Source organism: Homo sapiens, chromosome X (genome assembly GCF_000001405.40).
Source record: "Homo sapiens chromosome X, GRCh38.p14 Primary Assembly".
In the NCBI taxonomy this organism is placed as follows: Eukaryota; Metazoa; Chordata; class Mammalia; order Primates; family Hominidae; genus Homo; species Homo sapiens.
In genome coordinates this window covers 10468671-10487635 of record NC_000023.11, presented here as the reverse complement: position 1 = coordinate 10487635, position 18965 = coordinate 10468671, and the positions used below count along the sequence as shown (strand labels likewise).

Genomic DNA, 18965 nt, shown 5'->3' with positions numbered 1-18965 from the left:
AGTTAATTACAAAGGGGCAGGAGTAAATTGTGGGGCATGATATATATGTTTATTATCTTGACTGTGGTGACTGTTTCATGGGTGCATACATATTTGAAAAAGTGTCAAATTTGCACTTTAAGTATGTACTGTTTATGATATGTAAATTCTATCTCAATTCAGCTGTTTATTAGACATATAAATTGTGTATTATATAATGAAAAAGTCTTCAGAAATTAAAATTAATGAACTAGGGTGATATGTATTAGCACGGACAAATCACAAAAACAGAAGAAAGTTATATAATTATTTGTACAAGCATTATATAAAATTTAATAAACTACCAAAAAATCCCATACATTGTTTAGGTATGTGTACATAAACATGTTTGGGAGTGATCAGCTCTAAATTTGAGAGGGTCTTTTCTTCTGGAGAGAGACATGAGTGAGATTATAAAGTGCCACACAGAGGCTTTAATGCTATCAATAATATTTTACCACCAGGTGTGGTGGCTCATGCCTATAATCCCAGCACTTTGGGAGGCCAAGGCGAGAGGATCACTTGAGCCCAGGAGTTTGAGACCAGCCTGGGCAACATAGTGGTTCCCCATCACTACAAAAAATAAAAATAAAAATAAAAATTAGCCGGGTGTAGTGGCATGTGCCTGTGATCTCAGCTAGTCAGGTGGCTGAGGCAGGAGGATTGCTTGAGCCTGGAAGGTCAAAGCTGCAGTGATCCGTAATCATGCTACTACACTCCAGCCTGGGTGACAGAGCAAGACCCTGTCTCAAAAAAAAATCTTTTTTACTTCCTTTTGAAAACTCTGAAGCTCATATGATGAAAATACTGAGATTTAGTAAACCTGGTACTATGTACAGGACAGTTCATTATATTCTTAAATTTTTTGTATGTATGGAATGCTTCACTTTTTAAAAAGTATACATTTGCTCAGCAACATTATCTCAGAAGGCAATCTTAGAAAGCAGATGTTACTTGGGAAAGATGAGGGCCGCACTCCTTTTCTCTTGAGCTAGTACTTTGGCACATGACCAAGGACTAGTTCATTCCAAACCCTGAAACTCACAGTGACTCAAGTCCCTAGCCAGGGCATATTGTGTCAGAGGCCTGTTTTTAAGAGGAAGGGTGTGAATGCCAACCCGTGGAAATCTGAGGTGCCAGACAGGGAGGGCAAGTGTGGACTTGGGGTTCACTGGGGGACTTGGGTCCCTGCACCCCAGGATGGCAGTGGCAACTGAGGGCATTGAGTCTAAAGAACGGATGGTGGGGCCTTCTGACAAGCAATTGGAAGTGGGCAGGTGGAGCAAGAACCAGGCAGAATTGTGGAGATCACAAAAGTGAGTTTCATCAACTGCCTTATTTTGCCCCTGTCTATCTCTGACACTAGTCACTCAGCTGTCAAACTCACCTCAAATTCTGCAATTGACGAGGTCACCAAGCAGGTGATATTATTACACGTTAGTACCTACTGATGATTCCTGCTCTTGGACCATTGTACATTCTCTGAAACAAATTAACTCGACAGCCTTTATAGGTGGGCGGACTGGAGAGTCTTAAGCCATGAGGCTCCCTGGAAAAGAATTTTCTTCTTTTTTTCAGTAGTCGGGGATAAGTTTCATGTCAACACACAAAGAGCTAAATTCAGATTGAGTTCATTCATTTAATGTTCAGACACAGAGATCTATGGTAGACTTCTGAAGGCCAAAGCTCAACAAAATAAGGGTCCCTTTTCTTCACTGCCTTTTATGTACACTAAATCTTAAAAGTTTAAGAAAATTAACTTGGACTAAATGTTGAGCTCTCCATGGCCTTAAAGAGATGGTGAGAACAGGCCTCATTTTCAGTTCAGATACTTGTGTGAATTGAGGATGCATTGTTTGGACCTAATTGTTTTGGGTTGTGTATCCTACATACATATAAAAAGATTTATATAAAAATAAGTGTTTAAAACGCATTTCAAGCAAAATAAAGCGGCTTTTAAAAGAATGTGTAAGGTATAATAAACAGCAAATAAAATGATATAAACAGCCCTGTGTCCCTGCTAAAAGGAGATTCCAGCAGGCAAACTATTTCCATGACTAGTAGAGAGTAAATTCCAAAAGTTGCAATGTGGTAATCTCACTTCCCAAAGGAAAAATGAAGAGTTGACTGGAAAATATTTCCCTTGCAGCATTAAGGCAGACACATACAGAATCTTTTTATGTGTCAGTATCTAATTTTTTTAAACATCAAATTTTATTCACCTTGTCAACTTTTAAAAATAATACATTAAAAAGTGTTGTCTAATAGAAAACTAAGTACTTCGCTCCATGCTGGGTGTCTGAGTTTGAAGTGCTGTGACAAGTAGGACAGTGTTTCAGAGTGTGCTGCAAATCAGGGCCATCTGACTGTAATCATTTAAGCCAGGGGTTAGCCGACTTTTCTGTCAAGGGCCAGATAACAAATATTTTAGGCTTTGCCATACGGTCTCTGTTGCAGCAACTCACTTCTGCACAACATTGTAGCAAGAAAGCAGCCATAGATTATGTGTAACCAATGAGTGTGGTAGTATGCCAATAAAGCTTTATTTACACAAACAGGCTGTATGCTGATTTGGCCCACAGATCACAGCCTAGGAACACCTAACTTAGAGCAGTGTTTTTCTTTTTTCTTTTTTTTTTTACTGTAACCCGCAGTAAGAAATATATATGACATCACAATACAGCGTGCACGCATGCACACACACAAAAGGTTTTACAAAACCCAACTTGCCTTTTCTACCAGGAATGCACTCTGCTATTTGCTTTTCTCCTCTTCTATTTGGTTTTTTAAAGGCTAGTCCTGACTGTCCTAATGATTCATCACCTGCAGGCTTAAAAACATTTGTTGCTTGTTGAAATGGAAATTCCTCCTGCTCTGCGAATTACAACTCCTTAACTCAAATATTGGAGCGTAGACCCAAACATCTACTGTTTTTCTTTCAAAATGATGCCCAGCTGATTCTTTTACACTAGGTTTGCAAAGCTCAAATCAGATGTATCAGATGAAATTGTACACTAACCTATAACTAAAATTATGCCCAAAATTGTTCTCTGTAGAACATTCCGATATTTTCACAGGCGACTCTCATTTTGTCTTGCTTTAATTTTTGCATGATTTAGGGCTCTTTTATTCTTTTTCCTGTTATGTCACTTTTAATGTTCAATATCATGATAGAAAAAGAAAAGAAGAAACTGGAGTTCAAGCATCATCGCATTTGAAATGTGTGTGGTCTTTAATAGGCATATCTAAAGGATAAGTAGTTGTCATGAAGTTATTCTAAAGGAATATTTTGACCTTATTTTCTTTTGCTGGAATTGTATTAAACATCTGCAATTCGGCCATGTAATTTAAATGATTCTTTATGCTGTGTGATTAAATATTCCATTCACTTGGTTTGTCCTGTGGACTGTAAATTAGTTTTCCTTCTGGAATTTTCCTTCCTCTGACAGTTTCTTATGAACATGTTCTAATATCCTGCGCGTACTGGATGCCTTCCTTAGCTTTGCCTCCAGATAGAATGATGCCAGAGGCTAAATTCTATTTGGTGTAAAATAAGTGTTATTTTATTCCACTAATGAATACAATTAATCCACTGGGGACAGTAACTATAATTATAATGCATTAAGTCTTTTACCAGGCTCACGATCCTATATTATTTGCCCTAAAGTTTTGACACTTCATTCTCTGACTCTTTCAGGAATTTTTTTCACCCTTGCCTGAAATCTTGTGCCTGCTGCTTCTAATTCAGTATGAATTTCCTTTGTTTGCTTATAGTACATACTTGGAATTGGATGTTCCTTAGAGGCCTCAAGTTCTGACATCTCTTTCCTTCCTTTTCTTAGATTAGAGTTATACAGGGATGGTAATGACGACTTGGAGAAAGAAAGAATTTCTTGGAATTAGCAGGAATTCTGGAGAGAGCCTTGGGCCAGCCTTGTCTGTAAGACAGATTGACTGGTCTCCTCCGTACCCTTTCACCCAGGGCTATTTTCCATTCCAGAATTATCATAAAGCCGGTTGAAACCTGTCCCTGGGTGTGTGGTTGGGGGCAGTAGGCACACAGCAATTCCAATTAGCTGTCTAATTTTAACTTGGCTTCTGGCTAGAGGACTTCATCTCACAGCACATTTCAAACACAAGAGCGAACGGTCAAGTGGGTTACCTTGGACTTATCTTGGCCTGCCCCGGAGGTTATGGTCAATTATGTTTGAGGGACATTTTCAAGCGAGACAGAATCAGGAATTGGAATGGAGGTTGTGAAGCAATCATGCGTTTTTATCCCAACTGGGAAATGCTTATCAAAATAGTTCCTAGTTATCAAGTAAGCACAAAGTGCCTGGAAATGACGTTCCCAGTGAGGGGAAATGGCCCAGCTGTGCTTTTTTTGGCTTTCTCTCATCTGCTCAACAGGAAAAATATTAATCAATGGGAAAAATGCTCCCTTTCTGTTAATTTAACACATGAGTTTTAGGTAGTGTGGGAAATAGTAACACTTAATGCTTTCCATTCTCGATTTTATTACATGAATTACAAAAAACACTTTTTAGAAAATGGTTTTCATTTAAACCATAGATTCACCACCTATAAAGATGTTTTATCTTCTTGATGAAAAGAAGATAAACCTGAGATAGAGAAAGTTCCAGGGTTCCCTACAGTCTTGCAGTCATTGTGTGGAATAGTCCAGGGAAGACGTCTGGTGACCCTTTGTAAGTTGCCACTGGGCAACACCTTTTTTTCCCATCAACAGGGAAGCAATTCACAATTCAGTGTTTCCTCGTAAAACGAATTAGCAATGCTTCTCCAATGAGATAAGGAATATCTAAACCAGAGTCCCATAACGGAGCTTTCCATATTTTGATATATCTCTATGCCTACTTTTTGAACTTTTATGGAAGGATAACACAACAAAATGAAGGATCCAGCCTGATGCCTTTTCATTAAGCAAGACCACCCATGTAACCATCTCTCTCCATGCCTCTTTTGTTCAAGGTGATGAGGCTTCGCAAACTGGCTCAGCAGATTGCAAACTGCAAACAGTGCATTGAGCGGTCAGCATCACTCATCTCCCAAGCGGAACACTCTCTGAAGGAGAATGATCATGCGCGTTTCCTACAGACTGCTAAGAATATCACCGAGAGGTGAGTGCAGGGGCCCCTGGGAATTTCTCGGCTGCTGGGCTCTTGTATCTGCGCTGTGATTGGTTGGTCTTGCCCTCGCCTTGCTTTTATTTTCATTTTCAAGGCTCAGTACCAGAGAGAATAGAGGCTTTGAGCTGTTTTGTTCCAGCTAAAGATGCTTCCTTTTGACATGTGAAAGCCCTTTCAGTAACAGCCTGGAGTCTGGAGTTCAAGGCCTTTGAAACAAGAGTCCACCAGTTAGAAAGAATAAAATCAACCTGCTTTTGGACGAGGGGGGAGCTTATGATGGCACAAAAACAGCATTTATTGTGACTCTCAGATGTGATGTTATCGTACACTTGATAACAAAGAGTCAAAATGAAGGCAAAAACATTAAAGGGAATATTTTCTTCCATCACAGGGCTCATCTATTTTTTTTTAAAATCACACAGGTGTTGTTCTCTGTTAGGCCCATTTTCATTTGGTTGAGGAGCTTGGCCTCACCTGAAAAGGTCAAGGCCAACTCACGCAGGAGAGAAAGGACCAAACTGTCAACCTCATACGGGCTTCTTTTAAAATACTCTTTATTCTCAGGTAGGGAGCTTTAATGTGATGTTATCTGAATGGTTGGCTCAGCAGTAAAACTGGCAAAGATAAGTATTTTTTCGGCACACATACTTGGTTGGTATAAAAATTGCTCATCTTCACTGACACAAACACCTATAGCAATTCTAGTGGATCCAAAGAAAAGCACTAGCCGGGCACGGTGGCTCACGCCTGTAATCCCAGCACTTTGGGAGGCCAAGGCGGGTGGATCACCTGAGGTCAGGAGTTCGAGACCAGCCTGACTAACATGGTGAAACCTGGTCCCTGCTAAAAAAAAAAATACAAAAATTAGCTAGGCGTGGTGGCAGGCGCCTGTAATCCCAGCTACTTGGGAGGCTGAGGCAGGAGAATTGCTTGAACCTGGGAGGCGGAGGTTGCAGTGAGCCGAGATCGTGCCACTGCACTTCAGCCTGGGCAACAGAGCGAGACTCTTTCTCCAAAAAAAATAAATAAATGAAAAAACAAAGAGAAGCACTAGGCTGGGCCAGGTACAGCCAATGCCACATAAATGACATCTCTAACTCAGGCTAATGGCCTTGACTTCATTCATTCTAATTTTCAGAGTCAACTGCCCTTTATCCAAAGCAATAATAGAATCCTATCTCTAGAAGACCCCAGAGAGCTCATGCATGCTGATCTTCATCCTAGAGCAGAGATCAGCAGACTTTTTCTATAAAGGATCATCAAGTAAATATTTTTCCGCTTTGCAGGTTGTAAGGTCTTGGTCACAGCTACTCAACTCTGCCATTGTAGCTAGCTCTAAAGCGGCCATAGATAATATAGAAACAAATGGGTGTGGCTGTGTGCCAATAAAACCATTACAAAAACAGGCAGTAGACCATACTTTGCCAACCCCTGGCCTAGGAAAAAAAATACTCGCCATCTTATGACTCAAATTTATTCAAAGAAAGAGAAAGGAAACTAACATTTATTGAGTGCTTGCTTGTTTCGGAAACTTGTGCTAATTCTCAAAATATCGCATAGAGGAGGAGTGATTGACATCTCCATTTTCACTCTTCTTAAAGAGTAATGTATCGTGTTTTTACAACTCTGGTCTACTGTCCAATCGGCTTGACTGTATTATTTCTTATATTTGAGGAAAATTCCTTTTGTAGCTGATTAGATACTTATCTCTTCTAAAAGGCATGGATAACAGCTGGCTATCATCCCTGTTATGTACTTAAGATGCTCTCCTCCTTACTCTGAGAGGCCCATTTCTTTCCTCCTGATTCCTTGGTTCCAAATGTTTATTTTCCCTGGGCCATATCCAGTTGCTCAATATTCACCCTAAAGTTAAAAACTGCAAATAGCACTAATACTCCAGTGTACCTAGGACACTAATAGATAGCGTTTACACTTAGGTCACGGTTTCCAACCGGAATCCAGGAGTACTTTTCTCCATCTATGAACTTTGAGATGTCCAGATGAAATGGCTATTATGAACTGCATTCCTCATCAATCCCTGAAGATTCAACCAAGTGTCACATGAATAAATTCTTACCTAGTGACCAGGGATGATGTGACCCCATAACAGTTATTGCTGAAAGAAGATATGCATCTGAAGTATAGCACAGGTGTGGGAATGCCCACATACAATCTCCCTCAGTTCCAGTGGGACGTATCTGCTCCCATTCAGCTCTCTCTATAACAAGCCCAACTCATCAAGAGCAGGAACATGACTTTGATTTCTCTTTCTACAAAGAATGTGCTTCTGTCAAGTTTGAATTCACAGAGCCTGTAAAAATTTGCCAAGAGCCTTGTCTCTGTTTCTGCAGTCCCCTCTCCTCCCATCACTATTTGTCAATCCTCTTGGCTAATTCCTGAGCCTTTCTATCCTTCCAGCAGCTAGGATATAGAAAAAGGACACTGGGCTTAGACTAGAAGTTGGCAGACCTGGGTTCCAGTCCTAGCACTGCCACTTTTTAACTATGGGTCTTTGAGCTATTTTCTACTTAGAAAATTGGGTTCAGGAACAGTTTGGAGGTTCCTCAAAAATCCAAAAATTAAGCTATCATATAATCCAGCAATCCTACTGCTAGGTACATACCCAAAAGAAACGAAATCAGTATATAGAAGAGATATCCTCACTCCTGTGTTTGCTGCAGCACTTTTACAATAGCTAAGATTTGGAAGCAACCTAAGTGTCCATCAACAGATGAATGAATAAAGAAAATGTGGTACATATATACAATGGAGTACTAGTCAACCATAAAAAAGGATGAGATCTAGTTATTTGCAACAACATGGATGGAACTGCAGATCATTAAGTGAACTAAGCCAGGCACAGAAAGACAAACATTGCATGCTGTCACTTATTTGTGGAATCTAAAAATCAAAACGATTGAACTCACGGACATAGAGAGTAGAAGGATGGTTACCAGAGGCTGGGAAGTATAGTAGGGAGTTGTGGGAGTGGGGGTGGGTAGGGATGGTTAATGGGAAAAAAGAAAGAATGAATAAGACCTACTATTTGGTAGCACAATAGGGTGACTATAGTCAATAATAACTTAATCGTATGTTTAAAAAAAAACTTAAAAATGTAACTGGATTGTTTGTAACCCAAAGGATAAATGCTTGAGGGGATTGATAACTTATTCTCTGTGATGTGCTTATTTCACATTGCATGCCTGTATCAAAATATCTCATGTACTCCATAAATATAAACACCTACTATATACCCACAAAAGAATTGTTTTTACTAATAAAAAAATTATTTAAAAAAATTGGTTTCAGAATAGCTGTCACTGTTGTGATGACATTGCTTTAAGTTCCTAAGAACAGGTCATTAGCATTATAGCTACTCCATGAGTGTTAGTTGGATCTCTGTTTTCACGTTTCAACATGTCAGTCTAGCCCGCCTTGTGTGTCTTTTTTCCAATGCTACTCTCTGTCTACCTGCCCCTATTCATCAACCTGTCACTTAACATTCTTCTCTAGGACATGACTTCTTTTTTCTGTCTCCTATTGTGCCTGCCTTGGGCTTTGGCTCCTGTATACTTCCAAACAATCTTTATTCTTCAATTCAGGTGTGGAGCCCAGAACAAACTTTTAATCCCGCAGGCATTCTTGAAGTGAGACTTAGATGAGATTTTCTGCATCGTTAAGCGACTTAAAGTGGATATGTCCTCCTACAAGCTGAATCAAAACTGTAAATTTTTCTTTCATTTCAGAAACATCAAACAACTCCAAAAGGGGAGAGAGCCTCAAGCTTTACATTGTAGGAGATGCTTTTGCTTTGGAACCGGTTGTTTGGCTCTGTGCTAATTGCTTAGTAATTATAGATAGCATTGAGGCTGCTCATTAACATTGGCTAATTTTGCTCATATACTCCAAGTAGGCAGGTACCCTAGCCACCTTGTTTTTACCATTATAGCCCCAGCACATTGCGAGCTGCCTGACATGAGTGAATGAGTGAATGAATGAATGGATCCATAAATCTGTAAGACGGGACTAATTATTCCTACCTAAGATGGTTATTGTGGGGATAAAATGCAATAATGTAGTAAAAACATTAGCCTAGTTTCTGTCACAAGATGAACATGCAACAAATACTAGTTCTCTTCCTTCCCACTCACTAGATGAATGCAAATGTATAATGTACTATATTCTCAAGCTACACTAGTAGATAGGTCTTTGGTGTGATTGTATATGCACCTTTATAGCATTATTTTAAATAAGCAAAGCTATTCACTAAGTCCAGGCATAAGAAAGTTGGTCTGCTTATGAAGAATCTAGAATTAAAATCCCTTATAGCAGTAACTTATCTGTATCAAGAAGGTGATAAAAAGAAACTTCCCTCTGAATAGTACCTATTGTTCAAAGCACCTAGGAGGTTCTCAGACTCCTCAAGGTGATCCTTCTGTTCCTCACTACAATAGGCAGTTCAAGGATCTTTTCCAGAATACAAAGCCAAGAACTCCAGTTGTCAATTCTGAAAAGATGTTGCTTGGTTCAAAGAATTAGAGCATATCTGATCAGTGGTTTTGGAAGTGTGTCTGCAGGGTGTTCATAGGCATTAAGATAACTGCACGTTTTCAAGGCCAAATGTGTTTGGGAATTCCTGGGCTGACCAAAGTAAACCTATCTTGTTACTGTGAGGCCTCACTGGGTTTTACTTTGGTGATGCACATTGTTTGGCAGAAGCCTTGTGAGCAGCATAGCTCCAGACACGTCCACCTTCTGGAAAACTGGCCCCATGTGTCCCAGACATGGCTGTAAAGCAAGAAGTTGAGAAAGTGGCATAGCGCTAACAGCCCTAGTGGATTTGGCAACTTATCCAAAAGGCCAGAAGATGGGCAATAAGGATTTGGGAAATAAAAACATGGCCTAAAATGTTGAATTTGGCAGATTTCCCCTTGCCTGTCACTCCAATTAGGAATTTGAAGTTGTAGCCAAAGATAAGTATCTTTCCTTCCATCAAAAAACAAATGTGTAGGTGTTAAAAGCTGCAGTAATCTCCACTGATTCTTGCTGTCAGCCTTTACCTCCCAGGCTAGGAACTTTGATCCTTTTGGTTCCCATGTAACAAAGTTCCTACCATCAAGATGGTAGACATTATTAACAGTGTCACTCAATTTAAAATGTTTTATTTAATTGTTTGTAGACCATGGAACCAGGAGAAACTTGGGAACAAAATCTATTTTGGATGAGACTGAATAAAGAGGTTTCTGCCAGTGGGCAGGGAAACTGCTAAAGCCAGGGAAATGCAATTGCAAGTTTGGTGCTTGTTTCCCAGTAGCTCAGAACAGTTCTCCCTGCCAGACATTATGATGGAGAATTAATTGGCGTTTCACTTTGCGATATCTTTTAAGGGTTCAAATGGCACCTTAGCATTTCTTTTAACTTTTCTGCATCGAATGCATATATTCTGGGCTCTTTGGTGTGTAGCATAGTTTAAGGGCTTCATAAATATTTGTTGAGAATAATCCTAGGACCTCTATGAAGTTTAAGGACTTTTTGTGTTCATGGGTCATAAGGAAAGCATTTTTAAAGTATAACTTGACCATCAATCAAAAATGCCTAGCAACCATCTCCGTATCCATCAGTCTAAATTAGCAGCTGTTGGTAACAATAATTAGCCCAATTCCCCAGGGTGCAATATTTAGTCAACAAAAGCACTCAACTCTGCTATTCACTACTTCTTGGTGAAAGGGTCAGGAGATGCAGTTAGATTCTCTACCCTCATTCAGACACTTGAAACTCGTTTCCAGAGCTTAGACCTCTTCACTTGCATCTTTCAATCCCAGTATCATTACATTTATGACATTGTTGATTAGGCTCTCTCCTTCCCTCCTGTACAACACTGAAAATCTGCCAGAAATACAACTATAGAAACTGTATTTCTATGAATTTTGAGCATTTTACAGGTATATTCTTTTTTAGATGGGTGAAATTTACACAACATAAAATTAACCATTTTAAGGCTGGGTGTGGTGGCTCATACCTGTAATCCCAGCACTTTGGGAGGCCAAGGCCTCCCAAAGGGTGATCGCTTGGGCCCAGGAGTTCAAGACCAACCTGGGCAACATAGTGAGACTCTGCTTCTGAATGCACGATTCAGTGGCATTTAGGACATTCACATTGTTGTGTAGCCACCACCTCTATCAAGTTCCAAAACACTTCCATCATACCAAAAGTAAGCCTTATACTCATTAAGCAGTTACTCCCCATCTCCCCTCCCCTCTTAGCCCCTAGCAACCACCAATCTACTCCCTGTCTTTATGAATTTTTGCCTTTTTTGGACATTTCATACAAATGGATCATACAATATGTGGCCTTTTTGATGGCTTCTTTCACAGAGCATAATGTTTTTAGGCTTTATCCACATCGTAGCGTGTGTCAGTGTTTCATCCCTTTTTATGGCTGAATAATATCCTGTTGTATAGATATATACCCACAGATGTAATTTTTAGAGCCAAGATATATTACATTTGTAAATCCAAAGCTTTAAGAGCCATTAAGAGACTCAAAAGGACATATAACCCTTGGAGTAACTGGCCTGAAATTTTTCTAGATGAAACAGAAGAGTACAGATCTGAAATTCTCCTCCTTGCTGCTGCCAGCTAGCTTTGTGGCCTTGTATAAATGAGCATCAATTTTCTTAATTAGAAAATAAGTAACTAGATTTAGTACTAAATTGTTTCAAGGTTGTTTCTTTGCTCAAAAATTCCCAGCATCCTACGCAATACTCCGCATATAATAGCTCTTAAGAGTGTTGTTTATGGAACTTAACAAAATACCAAACTCAACAAGATTACTAGTCCAGCATCATTTGATATGCTCAGAAATGGTATGCTTCATGCCACAATTCTCTTGTTTTTAAGAGAAGCACTTGCATTTTTGAATCAAAGTGTTCATTATTAATAACTGAACCTTCCAAATGAACCTGAGAGTACATAGAAGGAGATTGAGACACACCAGTGCCTTGCTTTTTAGTTTATACATGAGAACTCTAACCAGAAAACCTAAATGAAGAAGAGAAATAGTGCATCCACTGGGGGGATTTGTGAGAAAGCTCATGAATATTTTCCACAGCATCTGCTGGGAATATGGTGCAAGAAAATGAATACAAAGAGAAAGAAAATGAGCCAGACAAAAAACTCCCTTTTTAATGTTTATTTTAGAGAGAGGCTAGTAATTGATTAAACTAATCCAATATCTGGAAACATTCTTTTTTAATATTCACTTTGCCTTTTATGCAGTTTGAAATTTTGGAGACTCTCCTTTGAAGTGGATCAGGGTTGCGTCTGAAAGGAACAAACAGTTTCCCAGACAGATGTGTGAAGAAATGCCTAGAGCTACGCGCTTCTTGCTGGGGTTAGACGTGACCGGGCCAGACTGTTAAATACACAGCAACATGAAATATGAATATTCTTTTGCTTTCGCAGGGAATTTTTTTTCCTGATAGTAAAAAGGAAGAGGGCAAGCCATTTTGTTGTTTTCTCCAATTCCTTCACTTTTTTTTAAAGCTTGCATTCATTTGTTTTATGTTACTGTGTTGTGACATTTTGAGATGCCTCTTAAAACTCATGTGTAAAAAAGCACTTTTTAAGAGATATTTATTTTCCTTTTCTTTTTCATTTCTATGCAGTGATGTTGAAAGTCATCTTGACATTTCTGAAACATTGTTTTGTTTGCATTACAGAGTCTCCATGGCAACTGCATCCTCCCAGGTTCTAATTCCTGAAATCAACCTCAATGACACATTTGACACCTTTGCCTTAGATTTTTCCCGAGAGAAGAAACTGCTAGAATGTCTGGATTACCTTACAGGTATTGTCTTTTATGTTCTCTTTAATATTGTGCACACTTAGTGATATAAACACTTTGCCACCAGATCAGTTATTCCCCAATAACCAGAGGAATGGGCTTTTGACCTAGGAATGGCACTGATATTTCCATAAACAATTTCTGTGCATTGCCCTTTGTTTTTTCATCAAAACAACACAGCCCATTACTAAACTGGGGACAGGAGAAAAAGGAGAATCTCAACCATTAAAAGCATACTTACCACTGTTTCCCTCACTCTCAAGGTGTGGGTGCTAAAAATAGTATCTCTCTGTGGTATTTTTCATATCATAGTAGTAAGCAACTCACAATACATTGGCAGAGAAAAAATTGGCAGCTAACTGATTGGTTGTCTGTACTGCTTCATCTCCTTGTATTTGTGATCTTGTTTTAATTTGCACAACATCGAGTTGAGGTAAAGCATTATAATCCCCATTTTGCAAATGACAGAGATCAGCCGTCTTGCTGGAAATCAGGTAACTAGGGAATGACAGAATTAGAATTTGGCTGGGACCTGTACAAACTCCAAAAACTTCTGCTCTTTCTAGTAAAAGACTGAATTTTATCTTGGCAAATGTCACCATGGCAAAGGTCACAAATTTACATTGGAATTCCTAGTGCTGTGTTTCAGTGTGCTTCCTGGTTGGTGTTTTGTTTTGTTTTGTTTCTCCCTTGGTTGAGCTTAAAAAACAAAAACAACAACAAAACAACAAAAACCTCAGGCCACTCCTATTCCTAAGCATGCTTCTAAACTTTTCTTTGCTGTCAACTTCTAAAGTAGGAACTGAGAATATTCACTGGTAGAACCTGGACTGTTTAGACAACCTTATTCGTGTTAGCCAAAGCCACCAGTGCCTGCGACTTCAGGAAAGCACAATGTACACAGTGAAGCCAGATGTGCGCTGCACTTAAGACATACAGCCTTCAAGAGACCACGTCTCTAACTTAGCGTGACATGAGCTTCTCAATTCCAATTCTGTGTGTACATGTTTGTGAGAAAGCGATTGAACAAGGTGGAGCAGGAGAAAGGGAACATTGTGTGATGTTTGTTTTTACAGTCTGTGGATAGAAGGCCAGGGGTTCTATATTCAGGGAGCATTGTACCCAGAAGATGAGCATTTTTTCTTTGCGAGGACCCAATGTGCCGTTTTTAGCCTTTCTGCATTGTCAAGCAAGGCAGGCAGGCATTCCACAAACTTCTTATCTTATGTAACTCTCTCTTTCAAACATACCACTCCTATTAAGGAAGAAAGAAATTGACTAAAAAAGCATTTACCGTATGGAACTAAACTTGGTTTCAAATATTTGTGTACATAATGCCCTCCTATTTAAGCTTTTAACTCTGAGATTTATTTAAACTGACACTATCCAATAAAACTTTCTATGATGATAGATATGTTCTATATCTGTACTATCCAGCGTTAGCTGCCTCCCACATGGGGCTATTGAAAACTTGAAATGTGGCTAGTGAATTTTTACTTTTATTTAACTTCAACTAAATTTAATTGAAATTTAAACCACCACATGTAGCTCGTGGCTATTGTATTGAACAGTGCAGGTCTAGACTTTCTCCAGCTAAGCTGTTTTTCACAGTGGCATCCTGTTAAAAATCTCCTTTTTCTTATATCATTTGCGAATGAGTTTAGTTGCAAGCAACAAAAAATCCAACTAGCAGTGAATAAAACCATCAAGGAGTGTTTGTATTACAGTCACAGAAGAGAAGCCTGTGTTCCAGGGCTGGGCAGTGGTTCAGTGACGACCTCAGACCCCAGGCTCTTTCTTTTTTCCTCCTCTGCCGCCTTCATTGTGTTGCCTTTTTGCCACATGATCACAACATGACTACTCCACCTCCAAGTGTTGTGCTCAAGCTCTAGGCAAAAAGAAAGGGGTGGAGGGGAAACGATGGACAAAATGCTCTGCCAGTGAAGTTTGTTTATCAGAAAAACAAAAAGCTTGATCAGAAGACCCGCCTAGCAAACTTCCACTTATGTCTGGTGGGCTGTATCTGTGTTACAAGGTCATGTCCAGGGACAGAAAAGACTGGAAAATTAAGTATTTGCCTAGGCACATGGCCATTCTGCCCAGAATCAGTCTTATTGACAAGAATGTGCCCTTGCCATTTCCCAATAATTATTTCATAGTATTTCAACAACATATACCCATTTTAATCTCTATAGGAATGCAAAAGTATTGATTAAAGGGGAAATTGTGAAAGTAGTTTAGACTGAATTGTAACATACACCATATTTCATCCCGATGGCTGTTTATTTCAAACTAAAGGCCATATGGGGTACCTGCTATTATGTCTTCTGAGCTGTCAACCCCAAATACAAATTCAGTCCATTTCTAGACATAACATCGATCCTGACCATAACATATGATGCTTGGCTGATACTGCCAAGTCCAAATAGTTTATGACATTTGTAAGCAGGAAATGAAGTCTTTGTGGAGTATTAGCCCACCATTCCTTGGGTGGTGTTTGTGACAGAGACAAGAAAATAACACTTCTGGTACTGATTCCATGAGTATTGAAATTGGCAGCATGCTGCTGTTCTCATTTACACTAAATTGAGTATTGACTTCTCAGGACAAACTCATTGGGTTTACAGTCAAAATAAGGTTAGCCTGTCTCATTGTAAAAACAAGATTTTTTTTTTCCTATGACATGCCTCTAAGTGGTATATCAAGTTAATAACCCATAGAGGTGACATTTCCTTCCTGATTATGGCTACTACCATGTGTCTCACAGCTACTTGCCTATTTTGAACATACGTTTTCTTTCTATTTAATTGTATATTGCAATACAGAACAAAATTTTTCTACAATGGTTGATGGAGAAATAATTCAATGAACTGTTTAAATTGTGAGAGAGTAAGTATTTCTTCACTGGTCCATGCAGGAGTGATCCCACACCAACAGGGACCACACAGACAATAATAAGCACATTTTACGATGCAGCTGGACCTCCTCCGTGGAATGCATATCCTGATTGGTGTCACTGATTCATGCACATCCAAGTCATACCACATGACACTAAATCTCACATGTGAATACTTCAGGAGACAGATGTACAAATACATATTCCAGAAAGAATGCTTTAAAGGTTATGTAGAACCCTTCTGTCTTAATGCACAATTTAATGCCATGCCTGTCACGTTGGAGGTGCTCAACAATGTTTCTGGAATTCAGAACCAATAGATAAAGCTAAGCTAATTGACTTAATACCGTAGACTTGCTTCTGTGATACTTGTCCTAGAGGTATATTCAAAAAGCAAAGTGAAGACTACTAACGCAGAGTTTAAATTTACAGTTTTTATAAACTTTTCTTCCTCTTTGGGTTTGCTTAGGACTCATCAATTCTAATCATAATTTAGAGCAGGAAATAACTCTGAAATAGTACAAGCAAAGGTTGCTCCTAGTTTGTAGAGTGCAGGTATGTTTCTCCTTTTGAAGTGAGATTCTAGTGGGTAGAAGAGTGGAAGTAAAGGCCCTGGATCAATTCTCTAAACCAGAGGTCAGCAAACTTTGACTGCAAACCACCAGATAGTAGACACTTTAGGCTTTGCAGTCCATATGGCCACAACTACTCAACTTTGCTGTTGCTCCAAAGCAGCCATAGACAATACATAAATGAATGAATCTGGCTGTGTTCCAATAAAACTTTATTTACAAAAACAGGCAGTGGGCCAGACTTGGCCCACAGTCACAGTTTGCCAACCCCTCCCTCTAAAATATTATTTACAATGCAAAGCACTCATTTTCTCATATTTTCCTTGCTCACATACTCTTCTCATAAAACCAGTTACTGAAATCAATTCAGTAGAAGTCATTTTAAACTCATTATTTTGGTAGGACTTAGACTTCTCTGCTCCAGAATGTGTTAAAGAAATAAAACAGCAGCCTTCTACAATGATAAATTAACCAAATGCCAAAAAAAAGTTTTTTCCTTGGGGAAGGAAAATGTACCTTTTAGATATGATTGACTATGAATCATGGTCTTCTGAATTTGAAATATCGCATGAGTTGAGAAATGAGAAGAAAATAGGGCTGGACTAGTAAGTTCTTTTTTTTATGTAAGTCATCGAAACATCTAATGAAAGAAAAATTCAAACAATTATGTGGCTGATTTTTTGTAGGATAACAAACATAAGTATTTTTTCAATTGGGTGCCTAAAGATATAAGTATCTGGCACCACGTATTAATAGGTCAGGGGTTGGTGAACTTTGGGTTACAGCCCAAATCTGACCCTCTACCTATATTTGTAAATAAAGTTTTATTGGAACCTGGCCATGCCCACATGTATAAGTTGTGACTGTTTTCATGCTACAATGGCAGAGTTGACTAGTTGCAACAGAGACTGTATGGCCCACAAAGCTGGAAACATTTACCATCAAGGCCTTTACTGAAAAAGTTAGCCAACCTCCCAAAGTGAATGCAGCTATGAAACTTTATCTTGTTTACTTTTTATTTGACAAGTTTTCCTTCATGCACAAGAAAGTATTATTTGTTTAACCTCCCAAACATATTCTCATGATCTCATGATAAACACAGAAAGTCCATACTGGCTGACTCTAGTCACACTCCTTATTAAAAACAAAAGCAATAACCAGCCAATCAGATATTCTTTAGATTGGGGTCACCATCTCTAGGATAGTAGTCCTGATGGACCTATTGAGAAGGACCTGCTTAACTGTCAAACATCTCCTCTGAAATGGTATCCCAGTTGTGTGTGCTTTTCCACTGATAAGCATTCTTGACCCCCACAGCTCCCAACCCTCCCACAATTAGAGAAGAGCTCTGCACAGCTTCATATGACACCATCACTGTGCATTGGACCTCCGATGATGAGTTCAGCGTGGTCTCCTACGAGCTCCAGTACACCATATTCACCGGACAAGCCAACGTCGTTAGTGAGTATCTCATGGCCTATTTATTTCTGTCTTTGGTGGCTTTCTTCAGATTGATTGCATTCCTGAATTTAAACTTCAAAGGAAGACAAGGAAGGAAAGAACACACAATATTTATTGACTTGTCTTTCTTGAACAAAAAAGTGATAGCACTCACTTGTACTACATTAGTAAAAACAGCTGGCTAAATATTGATGAAAATTAATGACCTCTAGCAAACCACATGGATGTTAAGGGAAAGAAGCCAGAAACAAATATATAGAGAGAAACAAATATATAGAGAGATACATAGAGAGAGAAACAAATATATATATATAGTATTAATCCACATATAGGTTCATAACTTAAAGATCAAAATAAACTATTTTGCTTAAAGAAACATTCATAGGTGTTAAAACTATAAACCCTGGGCAACCTGGTGAAACCCCATCTCTACAAAAAATACAAAAAAAATACAAAAATTAGCGGGGTGTGGTGACACACACCTGTAGTCCCAACTACTCAGGAGGCTGAGGCAGGAGGATGGCTTGAGCCCAAGAAGCAGAGGTTGCAGTGGGCAGAGATCACACTACAGTACTCCAGCCGGGGCAACAGTGAGAATGCTGTCTCAAAAAAATAAAAATAAAAAGTCAGGATGATGGCTACCTCCAGGATTAAAGGGCAAGTGGCACCACTGGAAAGAAATATACAGGGGTTCTTGGGGTTAATGGCAATTTCTAGGTGAAAGTTACATGCTTTAGTCATTTTATCATACATTTAGTTTTATGTACTTTCCTGAGTGTTACTTCACATATTTTAAAAGAAAGGATTTAATAAAATAAATAGCCAAAGAAAGTTAAATACCTGGTCCCATTCAGAGGAGAGAGCTGGGCCCATCACTTAAAATGTTAGTAACTGGCCCCACCCGGGAAGAATTTCCAACCTTACCTGAAACATTAGAGGTGCCCCCTCTCACTGAGGCCTATTTGATATCTGGCATCAGAGATAACTTGGTGATTTCAAATAGCAGTAGTAGCAGGCCACAGAGAT

General features: G+C 39.1%; 1 protein-coding gene across 9 annotated transcripts in view; it reads left to right on the top strand.

Moving 5' to 3' along the window:
- MID1 (midline 1) overlaps window positions 1–18965 on the top strand; it is a 388374-nt gene that overhangs the window by 346048 nt on the left and 23361 nt on the right. For 6 of the 9 annotated variants that reach the window (NM_033290.4, NM_001098624.2, NM_033289.2 and 3 more), the window contains exons 5-7: window positions 5008–5156; window positions 12886–13013; window positions 17796–17939. In NM_033290.4, coding sequence (NP_150632.1) covers window positions 5008–5156; window positions 12886–13013; window positions 17796–17939 — 421 coding nt within the window. Of the gene's footprint in view, window positions 1–5007; window positions 5157–12885; window positions 13014–17795; window positions 18372–18965 lie in introns of those variants that run through there. The other 3 variants (NM_001193280.1, NM_001193279.1, NM_001193278.1) reach the window with 1 other exon arrangement.